A 20,856-nucleotide genomic window follows, 5' to 3' on the forward strand; every position below is an offset into this window, starting at 1 on the left:
AAACAAGAAAGAAATTTTAATTATAAAAGAATTATCTCCAAAAAGTTTCTCCTTTTCAACCTTTCATGCTTTTAATATTTACTATGTAAATTGCCTAAGAACTTAAAAAACAGGGACAGCTTTCCAGTTTATTTTATGAAGCTAACATACCAAAGACACAAAAAATGATAGGCAAATATCTAACTTTAGATTTTTGTCACATAAGTGTATGTGAGACTCTTAAAATAATTTACCAGAAAGTGTAATTCATCAGTATCAGTATTTTTTCTTTAAAACCTCTTTTTTTTTTTTTTTTTTTTTTGAGGCAGAGTCTCGCTCTGTCGTGCAGGCTGGAGTGCAGTGGCGCAATCTCGGCTCACTGCAAGCTCTGCCTCCCAGGTTCATACCATTCTTCTGCCTCAGCCTCCTGGGTAGCTGGGACTACAGGCGCCCGCCACCACGCCCAGCTAATTTTTTTTGTATTTTTAGTAGGCACGGGGTTTCACCATGTTAGCCAGGATGGTCTCGATCTCCTGACCTTGTGATCCACCCGCCTCAGCCTCCCGAAGTACTGGGATTACAGGCGTGAGCCACCGCGCCCGGCCTAAAACCTCTTTCTAAAGAGAATTTGAGACAAATGCAACAGCATATTAAAACAATAGAATAGTAGAAGTAAGGCTTATCTTTAGAATGCAAAGAACTCTACTAATATTCCTCCACATTGGTAGATCAAGGAAGTAAATTCATAAGATTATCTCACTTGCTACCTGTAAGGTCATATAGTAAAGCTCAGTATTATTTTGGGTGTCTGCTTCTGGCTAAGACAGACTAGCCAGTGTCAGACCAACCCTGCCGCCGGGAACTAAAATGCTTAGGTAAATAATAAAAAGCAACTGTTTGAAGGTATTAGAAGCTACTAGGACACTGAAGACTTTGAGGCCAAGATCCTAGAGAGAAGGGAGGTCTAAAGAGGCAGAATAAACATTTGGTGCCACATGACCCCTCAGAAGCATTTGCCAGCTTCAGTGCTAGGACTGAAAACCTGAACAAAAAGCTGAGGTTGAGCAGCTAAGCAGAGTTTTCAATAGATGTCAGAGGCGGGGGTCACAAAAACGGGAGTTCAGGGATGACAGACCCTGGTAAACATCCCAGGCTTTTGGTTGGAACCACCCTTCTTACCCCCTAAAAACCCCAACTTTTTACCCTAGGTGTATGGTGAACCTAAAAATTTTCCTGAAATCCAGCCCTCACAAAACACAAAAACTTAGTTTTGAATTGGCTGAAATAGATTAAAGTGATTCACCCTTGCTCTTAAATGCTTGTCAGAAGCAAAACTAAATCCTCTCTAGAGGAAGGTAACATTCACAGCCTCAGCCTATCTCCACAGTTTTGTGCATGCAAGATTAACATTCAGTCAAAAACTAAGCATATAAAAAGAGGCAGGCGATAAGGTTACCCACAGGAGATCTAGATATTAGGGTTATCAGACATGGACCTTAAGGTAATGTTGATAAATATGTTTAGTAAATTAAGTGACAAATGGAGGATTTCAGAAAGAACTGGACACTATTAAAAAAGTTAAATGGAAATTCTGGAATTGAAAAGTGCAATATAGGGTGACAATAGTTTACAATAATCTTTTGTATATTTTAAAATAGCTAGAAGAGAAGAATTTGAATTTTTTAACATAAAGACATTTAAGGTGATGGATATCCCAATTACACTGATTTGATCCTTACAAATCATATGAATGTACTAAATTATCACATGAATCCTGAAAGTATGTGTATCTGTTATGCATCAATTAAAAATTAAAAAGAACTTTTAAAAGTGCAGCAACTCAAATTAGGAATTAAACAGGAGGGTTTAATAGTATTCTTAGCTGAAGAAAAAATTAGTAAACTAGAAGATAGATCAGAAGACAATATCCATACCAAAGCACAGAGAGACAAAAGGATGGAAAATGAAAAGAAAAAGAAAAATATGTAAGAGACAAATGGGACACTGTTAAAAGTCTAAAATACTTATAATTGGAATCTCGGAGAGGAGAAAGAATAGGTCAGAAGCAATAGTAAAAGACATAATAACTTGAGAATCTTCCAAAACTAATACAGACTTGCATATTTGAGAATCACTGTAGCTCTAAGCAGAATCAATACCAAAAAACAAAAATAAAGGGAAAAGAGAGGAAAAATTGCCAAAACAAAGAAAATCTTAAAATCAGCCAAAGGAGGAAAAAGATACATTACCTTCAAAGGAGCGGCAGTAAAGACGGACAGTCTACTTTGCAAAGAAATGGAAATCAAAATACAGTGGAACGATATCTTCAAAGTGTTGTAAGAAAATAACTGCCAACCTAGAAATCTGTATGAAGCAAAAATATCTTTCAAAAATGAAGTGAGAATATAGACATCTTCAGACAGACAAAAATTAGAATTCATCACCAGCAGATCTACACTAGAGGTACTATAAAGAAAGTTCTTCAGGTAAAAGGAAAATTATCCCAGCTGGAAGCATGGAGATGCAGGAAGGAGTAAAGAGCACTGGAAAGGATAGATAGACGAATACATCTAAAATAATGTGAACTGTGTAAAACAGTAAAAATATTGATAGGTGCAGCAAACCACCATGGCACACGTTTACCTGTGTAACCTGCACATCCTGCGCATGTACCTGGAACTTAAAAATTTTTAAAGTAAAAATAATAAATGGCAACAGCAACACAGAAAGCTGGAAGAGAGTTCTGATGGGGGAAAAACACAGGTTATTTTTCCTCGGCTCTCACTCTACAACAGTGATCATCACAGAGGACTTCTTTGACCAAATGTGTGGATTTCTCCCCACGTGCCAAGCAAGCAGTCAGTTCTGCAGTGGACACCAGCTGGGTCGGTCTCAACACAGAAGACTTCTGTGAGCAAATGTGTGAGGGTTTCTTCTCACACATCAAACAAGCAAGGAGTTCTGCTGTGGATATCAGGTGGGTACCCTCCAATTCCATTTCAACATTATCTACCTGGAGATAACTCAGATCTCACAGGTTGAAGACTCAGTCTCCAGGACTGTCCCTCCTTGAGACACCAGTTGCAAGTCTGGGCCTCCAGAACTTCTGACCCACTAGCTTCAAGTTGGGATTCCCACCACCCCTCTTTGGGTTCAGTTAATTTGCTAGAGTGGCTCACAGAACTCAGGGAAATAATTACGTTTACCAGGTTATTACAAAGGATATTATGAAGGAAACAGATGAAGAAATGCCTAGAACAAGGTATGGGGGGTGGGTGCTTCCATGCCCTCTCTGTTGCACCGCCCTCCTGGCATCTCCATTTGCTCGGGCATTTGGAAGCTCTCCAAACCCAATCCTTTTGGGTTTGTTTTGTTTTGTTATGTTTTTTGGTTTTTTGGTTTTGGAGGCAGTCTCACTCTATTGTCCAGGCTGGAGTGCAGTGGTGCAGTTACGGCTCACTGCAGCCTCAACCTCCTGGACTCAAGCCATCCTCCCACCTCAGCCTCCTGAGTAGCTGGGACTCCAGGCACGTACCATCATGCTAGGCTAATTTTTTAAAAAAAATTTTGTAGAGGTGGGGGTCCCACTGTGTTGGCCAAACTAGTCCCACCTTGGCCTCCCAAAGTGCTGGGAGCCACTGCTCCTAGCCCCTTTTGGGTTTTTATGAGAACTTCATTATGAAGGCATCATTGATTAAGCCATTGGCCATTGGTGATCAACTTAACCTTCAGCCCCTCTACCCTCCCTGGAGATTGGAGGGTAGGGCTGAAAGTCCTAACCTTCTAATCCTGCCTTGGTGTTTATGGAGACCAGCCCCCATCCTGAAGCTAACAAGAGGCTGCCAGCTATCAGTCAACTCATTAGCATACAAAAAGACATTACTTTGGAGTTTGGAAGGATTTTAGGAATTATATGCCAGGAAGCAGGATCGAAGACCAAATATATATTTCACAATATTACAAAGATAAATATAGTTTAAATGTCCTCAGGTCTTTGTAATTTATATTAGATTTTAATGAGTCAGAGATAGTAATATCTAGGGTAGTCCTTCTCAATCACATTTGGTGAGAGAATCACATCATAATGTTCAAAGACAGCAAACTTCAACCTGTGGGTCAAATCTGGCCTGCCACCTATTTTAGTAAATAATGTTTTATTGGTGGAACACCGCTATGCCCGTTAGTTTACATATTGTCTATGGCTGGATTCATGCTGCACCGCCAGAATTGAGTAGCTGCTACAGAGACATTGTGGTCCACAAAGCTTACATTTATTGTCTAGCCCTTGATAGAAGAGATTTGACAACCCCTAGGTATTGTGGACTGAGTGTGTGTGTTCCCCAAAGATTTGTATGTTGAAATTCTAACCTCCAGCGTGATGGTGTTAGGAGGTGGGGCCTTTGGGAGGTATTTAGTTCGTGAAGGTGGAACCCTCACAAATGGGATTAGAGACACAGAGTTCTTGCTTCTTTCTGTCTACTCTCTGCCATATGGGGACACAGCAAGAAGAATGCCATCTGCAAGCCAGGAAGAGGGTCTTCACCAGAACTTGACCATGATGGAACCCTGGTCTTGGAGGGTCTATAGAACCCAGCCTCTAGAACTATGAGAAATGTTTGTTGTGTGAGCCACCCGGTCTATGGTATTTTTGTTAGTAGCAGCCAGAACTAAGACATCTGTGCTAAGGCATCTATTATATATTATGAATTAACTTCTTTACATTTAGAATGCCTTGTAAGAACTGAAAAAAAAAATAGTCACTCAGAATGTTTTCTGCAGGACATAATTCTTTCATAGAACTTGAGTTGATTAACTCTAGAGTAATCACTAAAAGGATAGAAAGAGAATTTATAGCTACCAAGCTAATAGAGAAGGAGAAAGGAAATAAAATAATAAAAACCATTTACTGTCCAAAAAAAGACAAAAAAGAAAAAAGGATCATAGAATAGGAGGAACAAGGCCAGGCGCGGTGGCTCATGCCTGTAGTCCCAGCACTATGGGAGGCTGAGGCGGGCAGATCACCTGAGGTCAGGAGTCCAAGACCAGCCTGGCCAACATGGTGAAACCCCATCTCTACTAAAAATAAAAAATCAGCTGGGTGTGGTGGCCCATGCCCATAGTCCCAGCTACTCGGGAGGCTAAGGCAGGAGAATTGTTTAAATCTAGGAGGCAGAGGTTGCAGTGAGCCGAGATTGTGCCACTGCACTCCAGCCTGGGTGACGGAGCAAGATTTCATGTCAAAAAAAAGGACAAGTTCAAAACAAGTAGTAAGATGGTTAATTTAAGTAGTAACAGACAAAATGGACTTTAAGGCAAGACATCCCTAGAAACAAGGAAAGTTTGTAATGAAAAATGAGTCAATCCACCAAGAAATATGTATGCACCTAATAACAGAGCTTTAAAAGACAAAAGCCAACAGAACCAAAAGGACAAAAAGATAGATTCAGTGTCCCTATTTCTTCTATTATACACAAATTAGGGAGAGCAGGATATTTGTTGAATATGGCGTAAATTCACAGACCAACTTTCATATTATACTTAATGGTAAAACCCTGAAAGCAGTCTCTTACTGTTATACCTTATAACCCACCCCTAGAATTTCTGCTTCCCATTCTAGCAACTGAGTTCTGCTGGGATTTGGAGTTCTTATTTTCCAATAGGGAATGTTACTACCAGAGGACACAGAAAGGTTCCATTGAATTGAAAGATGAGGCTATAACCCATTTGGGACTGTTGATGCCACTGAACCAACAGGTAGGAAAAGAGGTCACTCTCCTGACTAGAGTGCTTAATTCTGATTACCAAGGCAAAATGGGGTAATGCTATACAATGGGGGCAGGGAGGAGGATGTTTGTAACTCAGGATTCTCTAGAGTGTCTCTTAGTACTTCTTTGCACCATATTAGAGACAAAATGAAAAACTGCAGTACTCAAGAAAAGGCAGGTCTGTTGAGGAGTCACATGTTTCAGGAATGAAGGTTTAGGTCACCCTGTCATGTTGAGAACCCTGACTGGCTGAGGTTCTAATTGAGGTCACAAGACATGTTGGATGCATAGTGAGAGAAGAAAGTTAGGGACACCATCCATGCGTTCATAACCAGGTGCAGAAGCAAGGATTGTAGTAACTTAGCATATTTTTTCTTGTGTCTGTATGTTTATATGTATTAACTTTGCTTTTTCCCCCCTTATTTTATATATAATTACTGGAAGTTAATTAATTTGATCTTTAGAGAACAGAATATTTAGTGGGACTGTTAACTGAATTTTAAGGAGTAATTAATATAGCCAGTGATTAATACAATGTCTGTTCGGACTGCAGCTCCTCATTTTGGGGAGAAGGTGAGAACATGTTCATTTATAGGAAGGTAGCTGCATGTTACCTTCATGTGGAATCAGAGTTGTTTTGATACTTCAAATATAGAGGGTGTGTATGGAAGCCAAGTAGCCAAAGGGGTGGACTGTGCCAATTATTTATTGTTGCTCAGTTCCCAGTTTATGTAAATCCACATCCATTTATGCCCTGCTTTTGATACAGGAGATGGGCACTGTAGACATTTCCCTTTGGTGAGCTGGCTTCACTTTAGGCTTTGCCAATGGAAGCACTGGAGACACAATGTAAGGAGGAATAGAGGAGAAAAGGGTCTTCCCAGCCAGGCACGGTGGCTCACGCCTGTAATCCCAGCATTTTGGGAAACCGAGGCAGGATTGCTTGAGCCCAGGAGTTTGAGGCCAGACTGGGCAACATAGCAAGACCTCATCAATACTTAAAAAAAAAAAACAAAAAAAAAAACAGCCACGTGTGGTGGCGCATGCATTAGTGTCAGCTGCTCCAGAGGCTAAGGTGGGAGGATCGCTTGATTGAGGCTGCAGTGAGCTGTGGTTGCACCACTGCACCCCAGCCTAAATGTCAGAGCTAGATTCTATCTCAAAAAAAAGAAGTAGGGGGTATCTCTCCACTCCCTCCTTCAGTGCGTGTGCTTTTGGTGCAGCAGTCAGCAGGCTGGCATAGGAGAGCCCTGGCAGTGCTCACCTCAGTGGTGCCTATGAAGCAGCCTCAGCCCACCTGTACCCTCAAGGAAGTTTCTCTGCCTCCCAGTAGGGCCCTCCTGTGGACCACCTCTTCCCTGTTCCCTCTTCTAGGTCTTTCTGCTACTCTCTAGCTGTGTGTTCTGTGGCAGCCATGCCCTCTCCAGTCCTGCGTGGAGGGATCTTCCTCTGAGTTCTTAGCCTCTTATACGCACACACACACACACACACTCTTTTAGCTTGGAGCTATTATAGTAAGTATCTACTTTCTGCATTTGCTCTCTCTGGACCCCATAAGGAACTATTTTTACCCCTCTAAAAACATAACCACCTTTTACTAGTTAACACATCTTCATATTAACTCTATCCTGTTCTAGTTATTGGTATGGTTTCTGGCTCCTGACTATTCCCTAAGACTTACTAACAACATTACTATTTAATCTTTAACGTTGCTGTCTAAAGCTACGCCAGTTAAATAAGACAGGTGTATTCATTTTCTGTTTTTGCGTAACAAATTACCACAAACTTAAGAGGTTTAAAGCATGATCAGTGTTACTTCATAAGTCCTTCATAGTTCTTTTGGTTATAGGACTGAGGTCCTTGTTTCCTTGCTAGCTGTCAGAGGAGGAGTTCTCAATTCCTAGGCTACCCATGTTCCTTGCCTTGTAGCCTCCATCTTTAAAACAGCAACTGTGAGGCTGGGCGCAGTGGCTCACGCCTGTAATCCCAGCACTTTGGAAGGCCGAGGCGGGCGGATCATGAGGTCAGGAGATCGAGACCATCTGCCTAACACGGTGAAACCCCGTCTCTACTAAAAATACAAAAAAAAAAAAAAATTAGCCAGGTGTGGTGGCGGGCGCCTGTAGTCCCAGCTACTCGGGAGGCTGAGGCAGGAGAATGGCATGAACCCTGGAGGCAGAGGTTGCAGTGAGCCGAGATCGCGCCACTGCACTCCAGCCTGGGCAACAGAGCGAGACTCCGTCTCAAAAAAAAAAAAAAACCAGCAACTGTGTTGAATCTGTCTCATACTTTGAACTTCTGACGTCCTCTGTCTCTGACCTCTAAACCCAAATTTAAAGGGTTAATCGGGCCTACTTGGATGGATAGTCTCTCTGTCTTAAGGTCAACTGATTTGGGATTTGAATTAACGTCTGCACAGTCCCTGCAAATAGTACCTACATTCGTGTTTGATTAACTAGGGGAAGGTATGTGTATCCCAGGGGCCAGGAATCTTAGGAGGAATCTTAGAATTCTGACTACCAAAACAGGAAATAGAAATTAAGCCATGAAAAATGGTTGTTATTTACAGCTTGTATACCCAGAAAACCCAAGATGATAAGCTAAAAAATTATTTGATGCAGTATAGATAAGTCAGTAACTGGACTAGATACTTACCATCAGTAACCATTCAGGCAATCCACAGGATATTTGATCTAATACATAAAAATCAATTTTAAAAAAATTATAAAATACCTAGACATGAGCTTAACATGTACAGGAAATAAATATGAAGAAATGGGCTGGGCACAGTGGCTCACACCTGTAATCCCAGCACTTGGAAGGCCGAGGTGGGCGGATCACCCGAGGTCGGGAGTTTGAGACCATCCTGACCAACATGGAGAAACCTCGTCTCTATTAAAAATACAAAATTAGCCAGGCATGGTGGCACATGCCTGTAATCCCAGCCATTTGGGAGGCTGAGGCAGGAGAATCGTTTGAACGCGGGAGACAGGTTGTGGTGAGCCGAGATCGCGCCATTGCACTCCAGCCTGGACAACAAGAGTGAAACTCCATCTCAAAAAAAAAAAAAAAGAAGAAGAAGAAATGACAATTTCACTGAAAGAGGGAAAAAATGGAGAGATGTTCTCAAATAGGAAAATTAATTCTTACAGAGCTTTCAGTTAATTTGTATGTTTAAAGCAATTCTAATTTTTAAAAAATGTATTTTTCTTTTGGAGCATGACAATATGGTTGTAAATTTTATCTGGAAGGATAAAAGAATAAATACTTTAAAAAAATAATGAAAGGAACCTAGTGGTAGCAGATAACCAAAATTTTATGAAACTGGAATAATTTAAATAGTGTCATTGTGGCAGAAGCGTGCAGTTATTAATGGAGCAGAATGGTCTTCAGGCCCATCTGTTATACATGAATTTGATGTATGAAGAGCCATTGTCACAAATGAGCAGAGACAGGAAGGATCATTTAGTCCTCGTGCACTAAATGACTCCCAGGCACTGTTAGTTACAGAAAAGAAGGTAGATCCTAGTGTCTACCACATACCAAAATAAACTTTAAATGAAGTATCATCTGTATAATAGAAAAAATTTTAAGAAATCTAGAGAATAAAAAGAGCTAATTTGAATAGTTCCTACAAATACAAGTAAAATCTCATGAAAATTTTTGGTAGAATTTGATTAGCGTTTAAAACTTGGTGAATGCCAAAAACAAAAGGCAGACAAAAACTGGGGGAAGTGTTTACAGCAACATGATTAAAGGTTAATGTATTTAACATGTATAAACTTAATAAGTTCATTATGAAGAAGCCCACTAAGAACTGAAGAGACGGGCCAGGATATATAGACAGGCAATGTACAGAAAATGAAATTCATGTGGGATAACAAATATGGGGAAATATGTTCATTAATAGTCAAAGAATTGTAAATTAAGGCCACTGAAATACTTTATCAGATTAGCAAGGATTAAAAATTATAATACTCAGTGCTTATGAGATTGTTGTGAAATAAGCACACTTGTATTCAGCTAATAAAACTACAGATTATTAAAATGCTTTTGGAAGCAGTTTCATAATGAAACCCTTAATTATACCCTTTTGTTTTAGGAAGTCTGTTTCTGGAAATCTCTCCTAAGACAATCACAAATACAGAACAAACTGGAATAATCACCAATACAGAACAAATATAAACAAAGGGGATTAGTGATAAAAACAGTGTCAAATGGAAACACCTAAATAAGCAACCGGGGAATTAAGTAAATTATGGTCCATCAACAAAATATTTTGTTGTCATTACAAATTGTATTTGTGGAGTTTTTTTGTTGTTTGTTTGTTTTTTGGAGACAGAGTCTCTCTCTGTCGCCCAGGCTGGAGTGCAGTGGCGCGAGCACCATCTCAGCTCACCGCAACCTCTGCCTCCCGGGTTCAAGCGATTCTCCTGCTTCACCCTCCCAAGTAGCTGGGATTACAGGCATACACCACCATGCCTGGCTAATTTTTATATTTTTAGTAGAGATGGGGTTTCACCGTGTTGGTCAGGCTGGTCTCGAACTCCTGACCTCAAGTTATCCGCCCGCCTTGGCCTCTCAAAGTGCTGGGATTATAGATGTGAGCCACCGTGCCCGGCCTGAAGTAAGCATTTTTTAAGAGTGTAAATTAAGATGGTGGTCAACTGTGTACCAGCAGTACTGTGCCAATTAGAAATATTTATCAGCTATGGCCAGGCACAGTGGCTCATGCCTGTAATTCCAGCACTTTGGGAGGCCAAGGCAGGAGGATTGCTTTAGGCCAGAAGTTTGAGACCAGCCTGGGCAACAGGGTGAGACTCCGTCTCAAAAAATATGAGACCTTGTCTCTACAAAAAATTAAAAAACTAAAAAACTTAGCTGGGTGTGGTGTAGCCTGTGGTCCCAGCTACTCAGGAGGCTGAGGTGGGAGAGTCACTTGAGCCCAGGAGGTCGAGTGAACTCTGATAGCACCACTGCACTCCAGCCTGGGTGGCAGAGTGAGACGCTATCTCTTTATACACACACACACACATTTTCCAGCTATTTATTTTTCCATTGCATCTTCTTCCCAGCATCAGAATTTCTTCTCTTCATCTGCCCATCTGTGAATCTGTTCTCACAGAAGATTATTCCTGTACTTTAATGATTCCTCCCGTTAAAAACTCACAGCTTCCATTTTTGCTTTTCTCTTCTTTTATCTGAGCATAGAGTCCACAAAAGTTTGGTTATAATTAGCATTTTTACCACCAGGGGCTATTATTTGTATTTCAAACAGTTTTTCAAATTTTAAAACTGCTTCAGTGGAATTTGAAACTATGCAGTTGTTTCTTTCAGTGTTGAACATCATTCTTTGGGTGCTGAATGTTTAAATTCTGTGTTATGGTACATGTGTCTAGAAATGAAGAACAGTTAGTGGGGAAAATAACATTAATGTTCAAGGAGACTTTGTGTACTTTTACCTGAGAGATGCAAGGGTGTATAGATTTAAAATGTAAGAGCCACATTCTGGATCATCTTCATTTCAAGTAGTTGTGTTTACTGCCATTTTCTAAAATGTAAGCTCCACGAAAGCAGGGACCTAGAACATCATGTGGCACATATAGTACACTCTTAATAAGTATGTATTGAATGAAAGATTGAATTTTCACCGGGTGGAAGTATCTACAACTAGAAGTCATGAGTATGTAGACCTCAGAGCATCTGAATTTCTTGGAATTTGTGTCACTTAACACAATGTTACTTTCTTGGCTTAAAGTGGCAGTTCTGAAGAAGGGAGGGACCAGCCCCTTGGCAGACCTTTGGAAGGATGGACTTTTGTTTAGGGATGTCATGTGATTCGAGTTGGGCACAATGGCATTTAGTGGGTAGGAGCCAGAGATCCTAGGTATTCTGTGCCTGGACCTACTTCCATGCAAGTAAGACTATTAGTACATCTGTTATGACTTCTGAATTTCGCTCTGGATATTATTTGGGTGAAAAATTTACTTAAGCTTAGAACCTATTTTACATGTATAGAATTTTTTGTGCTGTTGTAATATATGCTGAGTTTCTGGAAACTCTGAAAAGCAACTGTCATATACATTCAGGGAAGGTTGTACTTTGTCTGGGACTTGCTCAGTAGTTAATTCATCATTTGGGAAATCTCTTCACCTGCTAATCAGTGCCAGTCATGGAATTTGAGTTGCAATGCCAACTTTATTTTCTTCATAGTACTTAGGAAATTACTTATGAAAAACTGAAATTACTTTGTTTATTTACCTGTGTTTGTATTTGTTTACCCACTAACTGTAAGCTCTTGATAATAGGGATCTTACGTATCTTGTCAGTGGATATCCTTATACCTAAAATCAACTCTGGCACATTGTGTGGCCAGTTATTAATAAATGATGCCCAAATAATGGACAGATGTTTGAATGAGTGAATCATCCCCTTGGGCGTGATCTTTATATGCTGTTGTTCCTTAAGCCCCCATCTCAGGCCCTCTTTCCTGTTTACTCTCAAACTCCCTTCCTACCTGATCTCAGCTATAACCCTCACTTTGATTTATATTTCTGCATTAACATCTCCTGAAATTTTTCTCCAGTCTGGATCTTTCCTGTGAACTCTGGAATTTTACATTCAGCTCCCTTCCCCAGTTTAATGTTTCAAGCATCTCAAACGCGAGGTGTCCTTCTCCAGTGTTTATCTTAGTGAACGGACCACCATACACTTAGTCACACTGGTGAGAAGCCTACGGATTGTTCTTGACACCTCCCTCTCCCTTATACCCATATCCAATTCATCACCCACTTCTGTTCATTTTGTCTTCTGAATGGTGTTCAAGCCTGCTTTGCATCCCCAGATCTAAACTACCAAGTCTAAACTCTTATATTGACTGCAGTAGCCTACGCATTGGTTTCCACCAGTCCACTCTTACCTTCTTGTAATCTATTCCACATAGGAGCCAGAATGATCTCATCAATAACTGATTGTTACTCCCTTGCTTAAAATTCTTCATTGGCTTCTCATTGCTCTGAAGATAAAGACAAAAAAATTTAACCTAAGTCTTCCCCACCAGACTGGGTGTAGCCATTTCTTTCATTGCTCTGCAGCCTTTAGGCCCCCCATCATCTTGCCGTTTCTCAAACATCCTGTGTGCCTTCCCACTGTAGAACTTTCATGCGTGTTGTCCCCTGTTGTGCCACCAGGTCTCCTTCAGAACTTAGCTCACTTTCGCAGGAAATCTGTGACCTCCTGACCAGCCAGAATCCTTCCTCTTAAGTGCTCTCATAGCACCCTGCACTTCTTATTAGCATGCTGTAATTAATGTATTATGAAGGAAATTGTCTGTCTTTCCCATAGAATTAGGTTTTAAAAAATTCATTAAGTGTAGGTATGGCCTCAGTATAATGTTTATCTATATTATCACCATAAAGAATGGCCTGCTAGCAACTATGGCAATTTGTCTTCCATTATCTAATTGGTTTTTACTCAGTAATTTCATAGGGTCAATCAGTTTGATTTGTTACTTCAGGGGCACGCTGTATTTCATTTATTCTAAGAAGCACATTTTTCCCATTTTTAACATCTCTGAAATTGACATGCATCTTACAGTCAATGGCCTATATATCATGGTATAATTGGCAGCATTTTTGTTTCTTAGTGATGCATAAAATAATGGTGCATCTTATATTCGAAGGTAGATTAGGTATAAAAGTTCGTATTTTATAACAAATTCATTCTGTAAGGGTTACCAGGGATGTATGTTGCTCGTTATTCTGTACAAGTGTTAATAGGATTTTTCTGTAGCTATAGCAGGTAACTGATGATATCTTGATCCCTTGAAGAAATTCTGGCTGAAATCATTTTCATCATATTCCTGTAGAGTCAAATCTCAGGGGCTTGATGTATGTATTGTTTGTTCAAGTCACACACAAACCCAAATTTGTATGTGTATCTGTTTTGTTTTAGAAAAATTATTTTTTATCTATGTGTGGAGGTGGGCAGCCATCCACTGGTTCCAGAGATGGTCAACTAACCCCCTGAATGCGTTCTCCCCATATCTTCATTTTGAAAGAAGTTTTAGATGGGCACGTTTAGAGACATTTTCCCCAGCCTTCCTTGTGTCTAGATGTGGGCAAGTTGTGGTCACTTGAATGTGAACAGAAATAATACGTAAACTTCCAGGGCATGAACCAAAAAGGAAATAATTTGCTCTTCAATTCCTCTTTTCCTTCCTCTAGTGAATAAAACAAACTTTGAACAAGGATGCTTGGCCAGCCTCTCTGGACTGCAGGAGAGAAACATCTTGAGCATGTTGTATTTTGGGGTCTCTTTATTATAGCAGCTTCGCTTTTACTCTAACTGATATATATATAAGAAATTGTTTTGATTATCCTCTTCAATTTCCAAAAAATGAGGTCAGCCTTACTATCAGTTCATTGTAAGTTTGAAGCATACGGCTGTCACTTTTGGACCGCAGTGAAGAATATATGCTCTTTAGGGATACAGCGTGGTATGGATGCAGCGTATGCTTGAAACTCAGTCCGACCTCAGTTGAATGACGACAGCTCTGTGGCTCTCTCACTTACTGTCTGTGTCTGTACGCAGAGGTCCTCTGAGCTTCATCCTCTGATCCTCTCCTTGAAGATGCAGGTGATACCTGTCTCAACAAGATCGATTTGAGGAGCGAATGAAGTCATCTATTTGAAAGACCTTCCGAGCCCAGTGCTGAGTAAATGACAGCTCTTGCTACCATTAGTTTTTCCAAAGACTGTCACTTCACACTGTCTGCTGCCCTAGTATCTTTGCAGTTGGAACTCGGTATTTATGGAGGATTGTTTGATTTTCTAAGTTTTATCTTAAGATTAAGCAAAACCGGCCGGGCGCGGTGGCTCACGCCTGTAATCCCAGCACTTTGGGAGGCCGAGACGGGCGGATCACGAGGTCAGGAGATCGAGACCATCCTGGCTAACACGGTGAAACCCCGTCTCTACTAAAAATACAAAAATTAGCCGGGCATGGTGGCGCGTGCCTGTAGTCCCAGCTACACAGGAGGCTGAGGCAGGAGAATGGCGTGAACCCGGGAGGCGGAGCTTGCAGTGAGTCGAGATCGCGCCACTGCACTCCAGCCTGGGCGACAGAGCGAGACTCCGTCTCAAAAAAAAAAAAAAAAAAAAAGATTAAGCAAAACCACTGGGAACGTTCACACTTGGACTGTGTTGCCTTGGCCCCCCAGATAATTGCTGACTTTTTGCAAATTCCTTGAGTTTTCCCGTCATGCTTTTTGGCTGTCAAGAGGCTGCAGAAGATGATTTAATAAAGCCTACCCTGGCACACACATGCTAGCGCAAAAAAGAAGCTGTCTAGTGCATGACTACGTCGCCTGTGTGAGGTACCCACTAAAATAACTTACTTTTAGACCTGAATGCTAGGGAAACTTTTTCTTCCCTTGTAGAACAGGTGGGTGTTCTTATGGTTCATGAGAATCCGTAAAGGACAGAGAGAGGAATTGAATCAAATAGTAAAATAACGTGGCAAATTTTAGGTTACCTCTGAGTACGTGTTAATCCATTAGTAGATGTGGTTCCATTAAAGTCTTGGAGGAGGTAAACTCTACACTTATTTTATTTTTATTTTTTTTTTGAGATGGAGTCTCACTCTGTTGCCCAGGCTGGAGTGCAGTGGCACGAACTTGGCTCACTGCAACCTCCGCCTCCTGGGTTCAAGCGATTCTCCTGCCTCAGCTTCCTGAGTAGCTGGGATTACACCCGCCATCATGCCCAGCTAATTTTTGTATATTTAGTAGAGACGGGGTTTTACCATGATGGCCAGGCTGGTCTCGAATTCCTGACCTCAGGTAATCCACCCGCCTCTGCCTCCCAAAGTGCTGGGATTACAGGCGTGAGCCACCGCGTGCGGCCCTATCACTTTTTTTTATTTTAAAAGAAACCAGAAAGCCAAAAGGTGGCAATTAGCAGTACATTGACTTTATGAGAGTAATAGGAAATATTTGCTTCTTGAGATTGGTATATGAACATAGTATTAGATTTACAGTTCATACCAATTTTATGCTTTGAATTTTAGTTTTTGATGTAAGATAGTAATTTCCAGGAAGTTGTTTAAGGGACAGAAACAACGAGCTATAACTAATAAATACTTGTTAGTATACAAAGTATGGGACTATGCAGCTCACAGTCTCAAATGTGATCTCAGTTTGCTCCAGTAATCAGTATACTGGTTTGTGTTTATTTAATGAATGACTAAAGACTAAACTTAATTAGAACCTTTTTTTTTCTTATGAGGTAGTTCCCTTAGGATCTCTGTCTAAACTTTTGCAGGGTGTGGGCAGCATCTGAACCTGTTGCGTGTTTGAAAACAGGAAATTAAAATGTTTTTCTGTTAATTGATATTTTTCAGGTAAATTTTCTTCATTTTATGAAATTTAAGTTTTTACATTTCACATTTTTAATGTGAAATATTGACAAGCTTCTTGGTACCTGTGGGGGTTGTTTCCTGCAGCAATATAATCAGTCACTTTTTTTTCTATTTTGTTTCATTATAGAAACTATTGGCTGGGCACCGTGTCTCCCGCCTGAAATTCCAGCACTGTAGGAGGCTGAGGTGGGCAGATCACCTGAGGTCAGGCGTTTGAGCCCAACCTGGTCAACATGGTGAAACCCCGTCTCTACTGAAAATACAAAAATTAGCCGGGCATTGTGGTGCATGCCTGTAATCCCAGCTACTCAGGAAGCTGAGGCAGGAGAATCGCTTGAACCCAGGAGGCGAAGGTTGCAGTGCACCGAGATTGTGCCATTGCACTCCAGCCTGGGTGACAGATTGAGACTGTCTCAAAAAATAAAAAAGAAACTATTTAGGCAGACATTCATGTCCTTTATCAGCTTATTACTCCAGTGTAAACCCCTGAAACTCCTGTTATTCTCACATGCAAGCCCTGGGCTTCACAGATGTTTCTGGATCAAGGGACTGGGTGGATGGTGGTATCATCTCTTTTTATATTTGATTTTTCTCTTGTGCAGATTGTCATCGGACTTTCTGCCCAGGTCTTGTATGCTCACCTGCTCTCCCAAATTAAAATCCACCTTTGAACATAAGTTAGTTTAATGGCTCCTGAAACTGAATCCACACAGTTAACAGTCCTTTTAGTTCACAAAATTGCAAAACCTTTGAATAGAAAGCCACCCTGGGGATCATCTGCAGTCAGTTCTCATGTAGTTGTTATATTGATAACTGCCCCAGGCTCCGTTTCATCACTTCAGTGACAGACCAACGCTTATATGGTGCTGGGACTTTGTCCTTTCTTTTTTGTAATTATGAAGGAGAACCTTTTCTAAACTTGCCCAAATATGCCACAAGTTTCAGAACACAGAAATACCATGAAGTTTAAAAAAAAAACAAAAACAAAACAACAGGCAAGTGCCAAATTCAAGCAAAAATAATTATTTCACTCCATCTGTCAGGGTTGATATTTCAGGTCTTTGTGCTATTGGTTAAATACAGCTTGTTGTTTTATACTTTGATGTAATGTTTTCATTTAGGCACATCTGTGAATTTTATTGATTGATTGGTGTGACAGTATTTAAAAGTCTCCAGTTTATTGATAGGATTGAAATAAGCTCTAATTTATGGGCTCCTCTATCAGCCAAGAGAGAGAAACCATACAGTTATGTGAACAGGGAAAGGTGACTGTCAAGAATTGTTAACTGTAATGGGATTAGAATAATGAGGGATTGGCTAGTCAGAATAAAGAAAGCCTTAGAGGATTCAGGAATAGCAGATATAAGGAGGAGACCCCTGCCCCCAGCCTGAGGTGGAACATCCAGTGAGAGATCACAGCCATGGCTCACGGGGTGGCAGAGAAGTCACTATGATGCTGTGTTGACGGAACTTGAAAGCAGTTCGTGGGAAGGCATCTCACCAGAGGCACTGTGTGTGCAGGGGTGGCGACATGGCTGGAGTGTGCCTGCAGGATCCTGCCAGGGAGCCCTCTAGCCAGGAGGCAGAACTCTTCTCCTGCTATGTCTCTAGTGCCCTGTACTGAAAAAGCTGAACATCATGCCAGCTGGCAAAGGAAAAATAGTTAAAGGTCACAGATCCATTTTCACAGAGCAGGCAAAAAGCAGAGTTTGGCACTGAGAGGCAATAAATCCCCACCTCCAAACTCCTAAGTAGTTTTTTGGGAAAAGCATTATGCTTATCAGTGGTTACAGAATACATATTCCTAAGATTTCTTGCAAACAATGAAATCCCAAGCATTATTAATAACCACTCTGTAACACATAGGCCAGGATGTACCAGCAAGGACTACTGTATCTGAGAGACTGATTGGAGATTTTCTTCTGTTACTTTAGCACATTTAAAGTACACACACACACACACACGTGTCATTATATAGTTGACTGAAAGTGGAGTGCTAGTAAAATTATACTGTCATTTTCTGACTTAATTTGAGGTGACTTTAAACTCAGAAATCAAGAAAAGGTTTTCACAACGTGGTACTTAAAACTCCCATACTTCTAGCATGGGCAACACAGCAAGACACTGTCTCCACAAAAAATTTAAAAATTAGCCAGGCATGGTGATCTGTGCCTGTAGTCCCAGCTACACAAGATTCTGAGGTGGGAGGGTTGCTTGAGCCCAGGAGTTCGAGGCTGCAGTGAGCTGTGATCATACCACTGCACTTTAACCTGGAAGAAAGAGTGAGACCCTGTCTCAAAAACAAACAACAATCCTCCCATATTTGTAATGGACATGTTAATATGGCAATACTAAAGTAATTTTTATAGTGGTAAAAGTGTTTACTGAACCTACTTAGTTAAGACAAATCGTAATCAAATAATGCTGCAGCCAGTCAGTGCTTACTGAGTAAGCCGAGGTTTAAATAAATAGATTGTTGATAAACTACATTATCAAGATTCCTTGGTTACAGACAGTGGGAAGCAACTGTACAAATTTAAGGAGAAAAAAAAGAGGAACATTTGGAAGGAAGTGAGGTAGATGACAAAATTGAAGGACAAGCTGGAAAACTAGGACACAACCCGTGCAGCCTAGAGAATCCAGGTAGCAGGCACTGATGGCAGGTTTTGTAGGGCACAGTCAGTGCGGTGAATCCACTCCAGGTGTCTGCCACTTCAATTCAGAGTTCCTATTCCAAGATATGTCTTGATTGGCCTACTGTGAGTCTCATGCTCACCCCTTGGTCAGGGGACGGCAAAGCACTGAGATACCAGGCTGCAAAAACAACTTATTCCTGAACTCAAGAGGGCATACCTCACAGACACTTAGTTTTTCTCTCCATTTCTTAGTTCCCTTCTTTGGTGTTGGCTTCATTTTTTGGCTCTCTCTGGTTGAAAGATGGTTGCAGTAACTTCCAGCCCTCTGATTCTGTTTGGTTCACATCCAGGGTCATCCCTGAATCTGAGCACTGTGGCCCAGGGGATGCTGTGCCCTTCGATTAGTCAGACACAAAATGGATCCCTGGAGCCACTGCCCCTAGAAGTCCACAGATTGTGGGTGAGAGGAAAATCAGGATACAGATACCAGTGAGAGGAGGAAAGGAAGCTGAGTGGCAGAGTAACAGACAGTTCATCAACCTTATTTCACAGAGACAGCCAACCAAAATGAGAAGCATTACTTGTTCTGTGATAAAAAGCCAAATGGAAGAAGATAATATAGAAAGACATTGGTGAAGCAAGGAGGTGGAATACCTGTGTCAGTGGCTAGACAAGAAGCACCATAAGATGCTGAAAAGGTGAGAGGCCAAGAGACGCGTTTCTTAAGAAGCGTGGTCAGTTCAGGCTGCGGTAACTCCATACTGGGCTGCGGGGCTTTGTCTTGTTTTGTTTGAGCCATGATAGTGAGTCTCGAGAATTAAATCCTGGGGCTGAAGTCTGTATTAACTCTAAAATGAAAATAATATCAGGGTTCCTTTGAAATACCTGAGACCAGCTGATTTTGTCATACCTCTCTTACGATCTCCGTGATTCTTCACCACCCTTCCGAAGTATAGGTCCCTGCTGTCATCTCTTCCTAACTAGTAATCAAATCCCAGTGCTGCTCTGAAGTTTCCTCATCCTTTTCTCCAGATCTTTTCCCCCTGCCTTGTGGTGCATGGTCCTCTGGTTAACAAAGACCTTTATCTTTAGCTCTGCACCCTCCTCAATGCCCCCAACACATACTGTCTGCACTTCATTGAAACCACTTCTCATCAGGCCAGGAATCAGGGTGGAGCGGAGGCATGAGGGAAGGATTCAACATTATCCTGAACCCTTTTCACCATAACCATTTATAACGTTGTTTTTTTTTTTTATTTTTTTGAGATGGAGTCTCGCTCTGTCACCCAGGCTGGAGTGCAGTGGCGCGATCTCAGCTCACTGCAAGCTCCGCCTCCTGGGTTCATGCCACTCCTGCCTCAGCCTCCCGAGTAGCTGGGACTACAGGCACCTGCCACCGCGCCTGGCTAATTTTTTGTATTTTTAGTAGAGACGGGGTTTCACCGTGTTAGCCAGGATGGTCTCGATGTCCTGACCTCGTGATCCACCCACCTCGGCCTCCCAACGTGCTGGGATTACAGGCGTGAGCCACTGCGCCTGGCCGACAACCATTTTATAATTTTTTTAAATTTTGTTTCCTGTCATTCCTTTTATTCACTTTTTTTAAAGTTTATTTGCAGTACCATTCACTCTGTGGTGTGTAGTTACGTGAGTTTTAACAAACACATACAACCATATAACCATCATCACGTGAAGATGCAGAATAATTCTGTCGCCCAACAAAACAACTCCCTTGCACTGCCCCTTTGTGGCCAGACCCTTCCTCCCACCGACAGTTGCTGGTCTATTTTCAGTTTCTACAATTTTGCCTTTTCAAGACTGTTATATAAGTGGACCCTACGTGACATAGTCTTTTGAGTTTGGCTGCTTACATTTAGTATACGTTATATCCAAGTATAGTTTTCTTTGAGTTTATCTTGTTTGGTATTCACAGAGCTTTTTGACTTATAAATTTATGTATATCACCAAATATGGGAAGTTTTTCACCACTATTTCTTCAAATATTTTTTTCTTCACTGATCTTCCTTCTCCACCTCTGGGCCTCCAGTGAAATGAAT

The 20,856-nt window shown here is 41.2% G+C and overlaps 1 protein-coding gene across 4 annotated transcripts in view; it reads left to right on the top strand.

Moving 5' to 3' along the window:
* TNRC6C (trinucleotide repeat containing adaptor 6C) overlaps positions 1-20,856 on the top strand; it is a 151,279-nt gene that overhangs the window by 20,056 nt on the left and 110,367 nt on the right. The gene's annotated exons all lie outside the window — the stretch shown is intronic.

The sequence above is a fragment of the Homo sapiens genome, chromosome 17 (assembly GCF_000001405.40).
Source record: "Homo sapiens chromosome 17, GRCh38.p14 Primary Assembly".
NCBI classification, from domain to species: domain Eukaryota; kingdom Metazoa; phylum Chordata; class Mammalia; order Primates; family Hominidae; genus Homo; species Homo sapiens.